The sequence below is a fragment of the Homo sapiens genome, chromosome 8 (genome assembly GCF_000001405.40).
Source record: "Homo sapiens chromosome 8, GRCh38.p14 Primary Assembly".
NCBI lineage: Eukaryota > Metazoa > Chordata > Mammalia > Primates > Hominidae > Homo > Homo sapiens.
The window spans coordinates 80,167,744-80,179,853 of record NC_000008.11 but is presented as its reverse complement, the minus strand read 5'-3'; the positions used below and the strand labels follow the sequence as shown (position 1 = coordinate 80,179,853).

The 12,110-nt window shown below is 43.8% G+C and overlaps 2 protein-coding genes and 1 long non-coding RNA gene across 14 annotated transcripts in view, besides 1 other annotated feature; all 3 read left to right on the top strand.

The window, feature by feature from the left end:
* The window catches only part of LOC105375920 (uncharacterized), a 54,525-nt gene extending 52,325 nt beyond the window's left edge, over positions 1–2,200 (top strand). Inside the window, exon 4 of one of the 2 annotated variants that reach the window (XR_929095.3) lies at positions 1,901–2,200. This is a non-coding gene — a long non-coding RNA (uncharacterized LOC105375920). The other variant, XR_929092.3, reaches the window with a different exon arrangement.
* Positions 8,129–8,458: a silencer, noted in NCBI's record as "silent region_19319". NCBI's record gives its function as "represses an Ori minimal core promoter by ATAC-STARR-seq in GM12878 lymphoblastoid cells {active_cell/tissue: GM12878}" and the evidence as "EXISTENCE:reporter gene assay evidence [ECO:0000049][PMID:35858748]".
* Positions 8,290–12,110, top strand: part of TPD52-MRPS28 (TPD52-MRPS28 readthrough) — a 252,848-nt gene continuing 249,027 nt past the window's right edge. Inside the window, exon 1 of the mRNA NM_001387778.1 lies at positions 8,290–8,429. Coding sequence (NP_001374707.1) covers positions 8,411–8,429 — 19 coding nt within the window. The 5' untranslated portion in view covers positions 8,290–8,410. The remainder of the gene's footprint in view (positions 8,430–12,110) is intronic.
* TPD52 (tumor protein D52) overlaps positions 8,290–12,110 on the top strand; it is a 140,483-nt gene continuing 136,662 nt past the window's right edge. For 9 of the 11 annotated variants that reach the window (NR_105034.2, NR_170693.1, NR_170694.1 and 6 more), the window contains exon 1: positions 8,290–8,429. Coding sequence is in view for 4 of the 11 variants with exons in the window: in NM_001387779.1 (NP_001374708.1) it covers positions 8,411–8,429 (19 nt within the window). In the remaining 7 variants the exon portion in view is untranslated. Of the gene's footprint in view, positions 8,430–8,732; positions 8,834–12,110 lie in introns of those variants that run through there. The other 2 variants (NR_105036.2, NR_105037.2) reach the window with 1 other exon arrangement.

Below are 12,110 nucleotides of genomic sequence, written 5' to 3'. Positions count from 1 at the left end.
TTATGGTTCTGAGGATCAGGAGTCTAACATGAGCCTCACAGGACTAATGTCAAGGTATCTAGGACTAACAAGGTATGTTCTTTCTAGAGGCTCTTGAGAAAAATTTGTTTCTTGCATATTCAGGTTGTTGCAATTCGGTGTCGCATGATTGTATGCTAAGGTCCTGTTTTCTTGATGGTGGTCAACTAAGGGCTCATTCAGCTTATAGAGGTCACCCGTACTCCTTGGCCCATGGTCCCCTTTTCTCCATCTTCAAAGCCAGCAAGAGTGGGTCAAGTCCTCTCATGCTTTCGAAACTCTCCTGCCTCTTTTTCTGTTGTGGCATCTCTCAGTCACAAGATTCTCAGCTCTTAAGAGCACATGTAGGTGGGGTGCAGGGGCACACACCTGTAATCCCAGCACTTTGGGAGGCCAAGGTGAGCAGATCACTTAAGCTCAGGAGTTTAAGATCAGTCTGGGCAACGTGACAAAACCCCGTCTCTACAAAAACATATGAAAATTAGCTGGGTGTGGTGGTGCTCATCTGTAGTCCCAGCTACCTGGGAGGCTGAGGTGGGAGGATTTTTTTGAATCCTGGAAGTCGAGGCTGCAGTTAGCCAAGATCATGCCACTACATTCCAGCCTTGGTGACAGAGTGGGACCCTGTCTCAAAAAACAAAAACAAAAGAGCACATGTTATTAGAGTGGGTCCATCTGATAATCCAGGATAATCTTCCTCTCTCAAGATCTCTAACCTTTATCAAGTCTGTAAAGTCCCTTTTTGCCAAAGGTTCTGGGATTAGGACACAGACATCCTTGGAGATCTTTATCCCAAATGATACCTACCACAGGAGTTTTAATGTCTGCTATAATATAATTTCTAACAACTGGTTTTTCTCTGAATGCTCCATTTTTTTATAGAGCAAACTATTTTTGTCTCATGTTTAGGATATTTTCACTTATCTCTCTGAATATAATAACAATAGCTTTAAAGATCTGTTTGTTTCCTTCTCCTTGTATAGTTTGTTTCCTGTAAGTTGCCTTTTTATGGTGTTTATTTTGGTCTTTATCTTCCATTAAGGGACTTGTATTAGTTGGGTCCCACGCTGCTAATAAAACCATACTGGAGAGTGGGTAATTTATAAAGAAAAGAGGTTTAATTGACACGCAGTTTCACATGGCTAGGGAGGCCTCACGATCATGGTGGAAGGCAAAAGAGGAGCAAAGTCATGTCTTGCATGGCAGCAGGCAAGAGAGAGAACATGTGCAGGGTAACTCCCATTTATAAAACCATCACATTTTGTGAGACTTATTCACTTCCACGAGAAAAATATGGGGAAAACTGCTCCCATGATTCAATTATCTCCACCTGGCTCCGCCTTTGACACATAGGGATTATTACAATTCAAGATGAGATTTGGGTGGGGTCAGAGTCAAACCATATCAGGGTTTTTCTCTGGATCATGGCTGCCTGCCCTGAGCATGAAGCAGCTGACTGGTCTCTTTAGGTACGTGGGCAAGATTTGTGACCATAGATTTGAGGGTAAGGTGATCTGGTTTATCCAATGTCAACATTTTTGGTTCTTTACTCTTAGGTTGGTTAAATTCCTGAGAGATGGATCTTTCAGTCTCCTGCTTTCACAGTATATGCCTGGCTGTTTGCATCCTGAGAACCAAGCAGAGCAAGGCTGGAGAAACAGCATTCATGATGTGAACTGCTAATGAATTTTTCTGCCTGTATTAGGAAATCCTCAGCCTCAAATGTACTTAGTCTTCTAGTAAAGAGATTGTCAAATTTCCTTCTCCAGAGAAGCCACTTTAGTATTCTTGCAGAATAGGGAAGGGGATGGGACCCAACTTCTTAAGTAAACTTTCAACCAATCCTCTTGTTTTGAGCCTCACTTTCTTTCTACATCCACAGATACCTGATGCCAAGTCCTGAGGTTTTTGGAAGTGCTGCAGTGGAAATTAGGTTCTTCTTGGCTTTCCCAGTTTAGCATTTGGCCTTCTCAGATTCACAAGATCAATTATCATTACGTAGACACTCACATTCTCTTTGTCCTTGTGAGTTTATCTCTTTACTGTAATTTTAGCAGCATAGAGAGGAAGTAAGAATGAATCTATGTTGAGAATTTACAAGAACCTCTTAATTTTTTACTTCAGAAGGGTGAGCTTTATGGTACATGAGTTATATCTCAATAAAAAACATTTTAAAAATAAATAAGGCTGGATGCTGTGGTTCATGGCTGTAGTCTCAGCTACTCAGTAGGCTGAAATGGGAGGACTGCATGAGCCCAGGAGGTTGGGGCTGCAGTGAGCTGCACATCAGTGCAGTGAGCTGCATTGATCCTGCCACTGTATTTCAGCCTGGGCAACAGCTGAGACCATGTCTCAATCAATCAATCAATAAAAATGTGTCTGATATGCCATCTTTATCCTAAAGTATGACTCCATAGTTTAGAGATGAGGACAGTGAACCAGAGAAGCTTAAGTGAGAGGCCTAAGATAGTGATGTTTTCTTTTCTTTCTTCTTCTTTTCTTTTCTTTTTTCTTTTCTTTTTTTTTTTTTTGAGGCAGAGTGTTGCTCTGTTGCCCACACTGAGTGCAGTGGTGCAATCTTGACTCACTGTAACTTCAACCTCTCGGGCTCAAGCAATTCTTCTGCCTCAGCCTCCTGAGTAGCTGGGACTACAGGCACATACCACCATGCTTGGCTAACTTTTGACTTTTTGGTAGAGACAAGGAGGTCTTACTAAGTTGCTCAGGCTGGTCTCAAACTCCTGGACTCAAGCAATCCTCCCACCTCAACCTTCCAAAGTGCTGGGATAACAGGTCTGAGCCACCACACTCAGATCCATAGTGATGTTTTTGTTTGTTTTTGTTTTTGAGACAGAGTCTCACTCCATCACCCAGGCTGGAGTGCAGTGGTGCCATTTCTGCTCACTGCAACCTCTGCCTCCCGAGTTCAAGCTGTTCTTGTGCCTCAGCCTCCCAAGTAGCTAGGATTACAGGCATGTGCCACCACCACTCCTGGCTAATTTTTGTATCTTAGTCGCCATGTTGGCCAGCCTAGTCTTGAACTCCTGACCCCCAATGATCCTCCCTCCTTGGCCTCCCAAAGTGCTGGCATTATAGATATGAGACACTGTGCCTGGCCAGATAGTTTAAAGTGATGGTTTAGATAAATCCACTCCAGAGTTTTCAGTTGTTTCTGGTCTTGCAGAGTTATATTTTGGTGACAGTGGCACAGAATTTGGCTCTTCATCAAAGACCCTGGGCACTTGCCATTCTGGCCTACACCATTTCTGCCAGAGGACCATTGGCATTCTGGAAAACTAGCTATCTTTGCAGGGGTGAAATGGTTTGTAAGACACTGAGTTGAACACCGTGTAAAAATTTAGAAATATTGTTAATCATTTAATTGTTAAATATACATATCTCTAATGCATTTTATACCCTGGAGTAATCTTAGAGAGAGATGAAAAGATTAGAACGGTGATGGTGGAGACTCCAGGAGAAAAGGGACAATGGCTCTCCCAGCACTCCCTTCCCTACCCAGTTCCCATATGTAATTTGATAAATACACAGAATCCAGAGTGGCTTAAAAACATACAAGAAAGATTAAGTGTCTATGGCTTTTCTTAATGTAGCCAAAATCAATAGTGTGAGATCGTTTCCTGTTAATGTTTAGGTATTTATGTGTCCAACCTCCATTAGTGTTAAGTACTCTTTCCTGCCAATACCTGTTTCTACACATTTTTAAAAGTTGTTTATTTCATATTCACAGTCAGTCTCTTACATGGATGGCTAAGAGAATACAATAAGATGGCTATTCAATTATCTTAAGCAAAAAAATGTTCATTACCTGACATTAAATCAATTTTTCTCCAAAACTTGTTCTTGATCTCTTGGGCCTCCTAACCTTCATCCCTTTGTTTACTACCATGATTCAAGCAGGAAGAGTCTATCTTTCTCCTGGATGATGATATAATTTTCAAAATTGTGGTATCATATGCCTTCATTTGTTTGAACAATCAGAGAGCCAGAACTACCCTTTGACATAGGTAGGGTAGTCAGATTTAGCAAATAGAAATATAAGACAACTTGCTAAGAATTTAAGATAAATAATAAATTTTAGTATAAGTATGTTGCAAATATTGTAGGGTATACTTTTTTGGGTTTTTTCTGAGATGAAGTCTTGCTCTGTCACTCAGGCTGGAGTACGGTGGTGCAATCTTGGCTCACTGCAACCTCCACCTCCCGAGTTCAAGTGATTCACCTGCCTCAGCCTCCTGAGGAGCTGGGATTATAAGCATGTGCCACCACACCCAACTAATTTTTTGTATTTTTAGTAGAGACAGGGGTTGATCACGCTGGCCAGGCTGGTCTCGAACTCCTGACCTCAAGTGATCCACCCACCTTGGCCTCCTAAAGTGCTGGGATTACAGGGGTGAGCCACCACTCCTGGCCAGGGATATACTTACACTAAAAAATTACTTGTCATTTATCTGAAATTCAAATTGAACTGGGTGTCCTTTTATCTTATCTGGCAGCAACCCTAGACCCAGGCTACCTGAAGCCCCTCCACTGGGCGCCCTGGGTCCCATAGAGACTTCCCACTTTTGTTCTCCTTGATGAGCAGTCCCTAGCATCAAATATCTACCCCCTCTTTATCAACGGTGCATCTGATACCTATAACTACAGAATCTCTTGCCTAAACTGGCCAACATCTGTTGTCAAGGCCTTCAGCTTTTCTCCCAGGACAGTCCTTTTGAGTGCAACCCTAGAATGGAGGTATGGCCAAGGCTCGGCTGATGGGAAAGGGTGGATAGAGATGGGATATGTCCTAAGGCATCCACGCACAAGGGAGTGGGCCAGCCTGGTGCAGGACAGAGTCAAAGTGAAAGGACAGAGCCAGAAGAGAAAGCCAGGGGCTCCATTTGTATCCTCGCCCCAGGCCCCACAAATATGAGGGGTAAGACTACAGAAAGCATCCCACTTGCCACACATTCTGTGTGATTTCTGCTGGCTATCGGTCAAGGAAGATACATACAACAAGGGCAGAGTATAGAGTTTTTCCACTTACATAAGTCGGTTTCTATCTATCCTTTTCAATACCTTCATTTGCTTCAATGCATTTGTTTCAGGGGAAGTTTACAATTTCTTGTAAAAATTTCACCAACAAATGAGTATTCTGAAAAAAGAAACTTAAAAAAAGAAACTTAAAAAAAATCCACGTTCCCATCAACAATAACACCACAAAGTAAATCTAGTGTTTCTTTCCTGTACTGAGCCTTTTAAATGTGGTTCAACTCAATGCACCCAGGTGCTCTGTTTAAGTGCTAGCCATTCTCCAGAGATTCCTCAGAGTGCTAAAACATAAGACCTGTTCATTTCAGAAGTAACACAGCATAAATTGTAAGCACAGATTCTGTCAGAAGAAAACAAATGAAGTAGTACGAAGACACAAGAGAAAAGCAGGCTTTTGTAGAAATACATGTAGTAGGAAGATGTAAGAGAAAAGCAGGCTTTTGTGGAAATATCATGTACTAGGATATTTATAGTATGAACAGTGCTCATTTAACCTCAAAGAGAAAATTAAGTTAATCTATCTCTAAGGCTCAGGATTGCATGTATCCACCTACGTGGGTGCATGCCAGAGTGCATTTTCTATATGGCGCATTCTATCAGTTGGGATTGCATTTGGCTCCATCTAACAGAAAGCCAACTACAGTGGCCTTACAAAGTCAGGCATTTATTTTTTTCCAGTAAGAAGCAGGTCTCTGATGCCATGGATTCTTGGGTTCTTTCTGCCGTCCTTGGCTTGTGAATTTCTTCCTCGTGTTTGCAAAATGGCTATTGCCCCTCTAAGCAGGAATGGGAAGGGTGAAGGGCCAAGTAATGCTGCCAAGTCTGTCTTCTTTTTAAATGCTTTCTTGGAGATTCCAATTAGTACAGTTTGCTCACATCTCATTGGACATTAATGAGAGAGACCCACCTCCAGCTGCAAGGCAGTTTGAAGTGCCCAGTGTTTCAGCTGGGCACATTGCCACTCCAAACAATATTTAGGTTATCTTAGGAAGGAAAACAGGAAGGCTGTTTATCAGGTAGGCTATTTGCCATCTCTGCTGCATGTGAACTACTCTATAAGCTCTTCAAAAGATAAGACTTTTTTTCCTTTCAGCATACATAACAAGTTCATCACTATATAGTAAGTTAAACAGATACAAACAATAAATATTTGTAACGGACACTCACGTTCAAGTGCTATTTATTTGTCCACAAATTAGTACATTGAGAGATTGTCTCTCCAGATGTTTATTTCTATACAATAGATCTCAGCATCAGCTAGTCAAAAATTCTTTACCACATACAGAATTTTCTGCTGATGCCAAAATTTACCTTTATGTTACATTAAAAATTTTTTAAAAAATATTGCACCTTTTTGGGCTCAAGCAATCCTCTTGCCTTAGCCTCCTGAGTAGCTGGGTTTACAGGCAAACACCACCATGCCTGGTTTAAAATTACAATATTTATTAATTGCATGGTAGAATTAAAGGATGCAGAGATGACCAAAATAATCTTTGCCCACCTGGAACTTTTTTTTTTTTTTTTGAGATGGAGTCTCACTCTGTTGCCCATGCTGGAGTGCAGTGGCGTGATCTCAGTTCACTGCAACCTCTGCCTCCCGGGTTCATGCCATTCTCCTGCCTCAGCCTGCCGAGTAGCTGGGACTACAGGCGCCCGCCACCACACCTGGCTAATTTTTGGTATTTTTAGTAGAGATGGGGTTTCACCGTGTTAGCCAGGATGGTCTCGATCTCCTGACCTCGTGATCCGCCCGCCTCGGCCTCCCAAAGTGCTGGGATTACAGGCGTGAGCCACCGCGCCCGACAATTTTTGTATTTTTAGTAGACACAAGGTTTCACCATGTTGGCCAGGCTGGTCTCAAACTCCTGACCTCAAGTGATCCACCCGCCTTGGCCTCCCGGAGTGCTGGGATTACAGGCGTGAGCCACCGTGCCAGGCCTGTTTTTTGATTTTTTTAATAGGCCATTTTAAGGACTTTACCACCTGGAGCTTGTAACCTAATAGGACTGTGAAACATACACTGGTAGCATCCTGGCACCAGTGCTGGGGTGAGTGCCACAGGAGAGGAGCCAAGTGCAGTCAGAGTAGAAGGACTCAAATAGAAGAGATCACATCTGGTTGAGTCAAACAGTAAACGTCCCCAGAAGACACTGGAAGATGCAGGCTGGAGAGAGCTACACTTTACATACAGCACGACAGTATAGAGATATTAATAGCATACAGTCACTTCAGGTAACTACAAGTAATTTTAAAACATCTGAATAAGTGCTTCTTTGTTGTCTGTGGAGTGCTACACAATGCTTCGGCCTAAACGTCAAGCAACACAGAAAAGAAGCCCCACTTCATTTGCAGCCTCAGATAGCTTACGAAATTGAGACACCACCTGAAGACCATGACCCATACAATCAAAGTGACTTCATGGAAGACGAGTAACTGCAAAACCCTGTGAAAACAGATTGTTAACGCTACTAATGAAAAGAACTGGATTGTTACGGGAACCTCAAACTGTCCTTTGATCAACGGACATGACGCCTCAACACGCATTTTCCAAAGATCTCTGCTGATAATTCTGACCTTCGGTTAATTTAATTAATTTCATTTGATTTAATTCATTTTAGTGTTGTCCTCAGTCCCGCACTCAAAACAGATTTTTATTATATGAAAATCTTCCTAGTCACCTAAAAAATCCGCATTCTATGGAAAAGACTATATAATTTTTCAAGAGATTCTTTGCAATTTTCACCTATGCTGGTTTATGACCTAGTTAGAGAAGACATCATAGGGCATTATTTAGGTAATAAAATACAGAGAGAAAAGAGCCACTGGCATTTCTAAATAACGTTCCTGTGTTTCCTACTGTAAGTATAGGAAAGTAGGTGTTCGCAGATGCAGAGAAAGGGCATCTCCAAGGCCTCGGAGGAAACTTTTGATTTTATAAATAACTTGATGGTGGAAGGCAAACGCCATCCCGGTTCCCAAGCAGGCTCCACGCAGCCTCCATGGCCGAGTCCATCTCCTCGCCGTCCTCTTCCCTCCTCCCGGCCGACTTCCAGCCGGTGCGGGAGTCGGGGTGCGCCCGGCCCTCCTAGCGCTGCGCCGCCCGCGCCGACGTGGCGGAGCGCACAGGTCGACCGGGTCAGGTGGTTGGGTGACGCCCCAGGAAAGCGCTCCAGGCCGAGGGCGGGCGGCGCCGCCGCGCCCGACGCCTCTGGGGGTGGGGACTTCGCGGGAGTCGCCGGCGGAGGCGAGGAGGAGCTCTGCGCGGCGCGGCGGGCGATCCGAGCCGGGACGGGCTGCAGGCGGGGGTGCTGCAGAGGACACGAGGCGGCGGGCTGGAGACATGGACCGCGGCGAGCAAGGTGAGGGCGCGGACCCAGCGGGCTTGGGCTCGGGCTTGGACTCGGGCTTGGACTCGGGCTTTGGCTCGGCGCGGGGCTGAGCGCGGCCCGGCGGCTCGAGCAGGTGCCGAGCCTCCTGGGCCGGCGCCGCAAGTTGCATCTCCCGGATCCGGATCTGGCATCCTGGGGCCCTGGAAGGAGCGGCTCTGGCGGGGGCAGATGGGACTGCATGTGTGAGTGTGAGTGTGCGTGTGTGGGGGAGAGGGAGAGAAGGTTCTGGGAGGTGGCGAAGGGGCTAGCGTCAGGGGCTGGCGGCCGTGATGCGCTTTGGGTGGAAAGCCGCGTGAAGGGAGCACGGCGCAGCCAGCTCCTGTAAGTGACTGGAACCAGGAACAGAGGACAGTGAGTCGCTCTCGTCCCTCCAGGTGGGAAACCCCTCTCTCCCTCATAAATTAAGACTTTCTGCCTTCTTCTAAGTTCAGGTGGTTAGGATTTTTGGTGGCGTATGACCCATGGGGGGTTTGGGAGGCAGATATTTATCATACTAGAAACCCCCAGATTGTGGAGTGGTGTCTGTGGGTTTGAGGGAAGAGAGCTTTTCGTAGGAAGGGTGAAATCCCACAACACAAAACCTTCAGTCTAATTTACCATAGCGTTGGGTGCACTTGCTTCTGAAAACAGCTCAAGTGAAATTACCCCCAAATAGAGCAATAGTAGGCCATGGTTTTCAGATTTAAATAGTTTCATCCTAGAGATCTCTGCTGATCATAAGCCTGTGACTGTACGCAGATGTGTGTGGCACGCTTTTAAAAAGATACATAAATGCTGAAAAAAGAAAACAAGGTAGGTAATCTTGGGAAGTGAGGATAGGAATCACTCCTGTTTTGAGCCCTGACACAAGTTTTCATGTATTGCTTATTTTCCTCCAGTATGTGCCGTCATGTGTGCATTTTTATGTAAATCAAACCATATTCCAAATATACTATCTTGTACTTTATTTTTTTCAGACTCTGGTGTTTTTTTTGTTTGTTTTTTTGAGTCTCCACCTGTAGCCCAGGCTGGAGTGCAGTGGCGGGATCTCAGCTCACTGCAACCTCTGCCTCCCTGGTTCAAGTGATTCTCCTGCCTCAGCCTCCCAAGTAGCTGGGATTACAGGTGTGCGCCACCACAGCCCGGCTAATTTTGTATTTTTAGTAGAGACAGAGGTTTCTCCATGTTGACCAGGCTGGTCTCCAAGTCCTGACCTCAGGTGATCCACCCGCCTCAGCCTCCCAAAGTGCTGGGATTACAGGTGTGAGCCACTGGGCCAGGCCTGTACTTTACTTTCATTTACTTGTAAGATAGACTCTTTGGAGTCTTTCAGCTCTTTCCTCGCTCCCCTTCAGATTAATTTCAGACTTAACACAAGTGCTTACAAACATTACATACAATATGCTTTATATGTGTTACCTATGTGTATATATATATTATACATTACCTGTATAACGTATATATACACATACATATTATTATCTAAATTTTAAGCTTCTTGAGGTTAGAAACATTTCATCTTTGGTTGTCCTGAGTGGGATAACATGATGACTTGTACATAGTAGACATGCAAATGTTTGAGTTAGAAAGCTTGTCACATGTCTTGTATATATTGTTAGCCGGCTTAGGGGCCACCATGTAAGTCAGCATTATGTCTGTCTGGCTTTCAATGGGGGCGACGCAGGACGGGGGAGACATGACGACAAACGTGCCCATGTGTATTTGTATACTAATCTGTTACACACTGTCGTTTGACATAATGATGTTTTTAGAATAACTATGTTTGGTACTTGTCAAAGTAAATTAAACGGCTGTGTTTTACTTACGTGAGTGGAGTAACTAGTTTTAGTAGTGTTTGTGTTCTAGCTTGGGTGGTAAGAATCAACAGTCATTGGTAGCACTGCAGTATTCCAACTTCTTGTGTAGTTTTTATAGGACTAGTTTAAGTGTCTAATTCTAAGACATATTTTTTTCAAATCTTTATCTTGTAAGATGAGTCTTTTCGTGTCTATAATTTTCCCATATGTTCTTTGGGTGAGGTGGAGGACTCTGCTCCGAATGAAAGAAGAGGCACTGCCTTGGGAGGGTCAGTTCATTTACTCCAAAGCTTTGCTGTGTTAGAACAACGTGGCCAAGGCTGGGTGCGGTGGCTCACACCTGTAATCCCAGCACTTTGGGAAGCTGAGGCAGGCAGATCACTTGAGGCCAGGAGTTTGACCCCTGTCCAACAAGGTGGAACCCTGTCTCTACTAAAAATACAAAAATTAGCTCGGCGCGGTGGCACCGGCCTGTAGTCCCAGCTATTCAGGAGGCTGAGGCAGGAGAATCACTAGAAACTGGGAGGCAGAGGTTGCAGTGAGCTTAGATCAAACCACTGCACTCCAGCCTGGGCGACAGAGCGAGACTCTATCTCAAAAAACAAACAAACACAAAACAAAACCACCTGGCCATTCCTTACTCTTGCTTCCACCTGCCTACCTGCCTTTTCATCTTTATGTTACCAGTGCACACAGTAGGTGCTTAGAAATATGTGTTGACTGCCTAAGATGAGTGAGGAAAGTGTCCAAGAGCAGGCCCCAGCCATAGTAACCTCTGTGTCCCTCCAAATCCATCTCTTGTTTCCCACTTTCTCCTGTTCTGTTTTCCCTGTCTATTCTCAAGAAGCAGAACTTAGCCAGAGAGTTGCTGATAAGGCAGTGCTGGGCTTGGAGGATAACTTTACATGGAAGATCTTAGAACTAGTAGAGTGGATGACTCAGTCTTAAGTGAATCTGGAGCAAGACTCCTGCCTTAAACTGGAAAAGGCACAACCTGGGATTTTAAACCTGGTGTTCACTAGCAAACTGTGTTGGCTGAAATAAGGTTTATCAAACTCTGTGATTGTCTCCTGAATTGTGATTTTGGCAACATACTTAAAACCAAAGCAGAAAATTTTAGGATTTGTTGAACTTTTAATAGTTTTTAATGTACATGGAGTTTTCTTATATTTGTCCCTTAAAAAATCCCTAATGAAACTCTAGTTGTAAAATTAAATGCCCTACCTCTTGTCTTACATGCATTTATCTATTGAAAATCCCTCTTCCAACCTTCTTATGTGAAGTTATCAAAAAATCTGTTCTTGCTACTGATTGTACTTAACAGAGCTGTAAATTTTTAAAATAAACACTGAGTTTTCCTTATGTTTTCAACCACGAGTATTCTAATGCTCTGTAGTATCAGGCCCAGATTCTGTTGTTTTTCTACTTTCTCTCATACCTAGGGCTTGAATACAATACTCTGCTTACAGTGAGAGTTCAGTGAACATCAAATGATTTAAAATACGTTAAATTGCATCATGCCTTTCAAGAGTTTCCAAGCATTAAGCTCAGCGCAGCACATTTACTGTGTGTGGTATTTCCTACTTTGATAGAGCAGTGTTGCTAACTAGAGCATACATTGTGTAGAAAACCCTCCTGACTACCTTTTATGGAGCTGAATAAATATGTATACTTGAGTGCTCTCATGTTAGTCATAACCTTTAGTTTAGCACTGTTATATAGAAGTGACAGTCACGTAGCCCACTACACATTATACTAGTTTGAATTTAAACAAAGCAAAACAACTTTATAATTTTAAGGGGAAGAGGAATGGTTCCTGAGGCCAAAAAACTAGAGAGGAAAGGCTTCAAAAAAA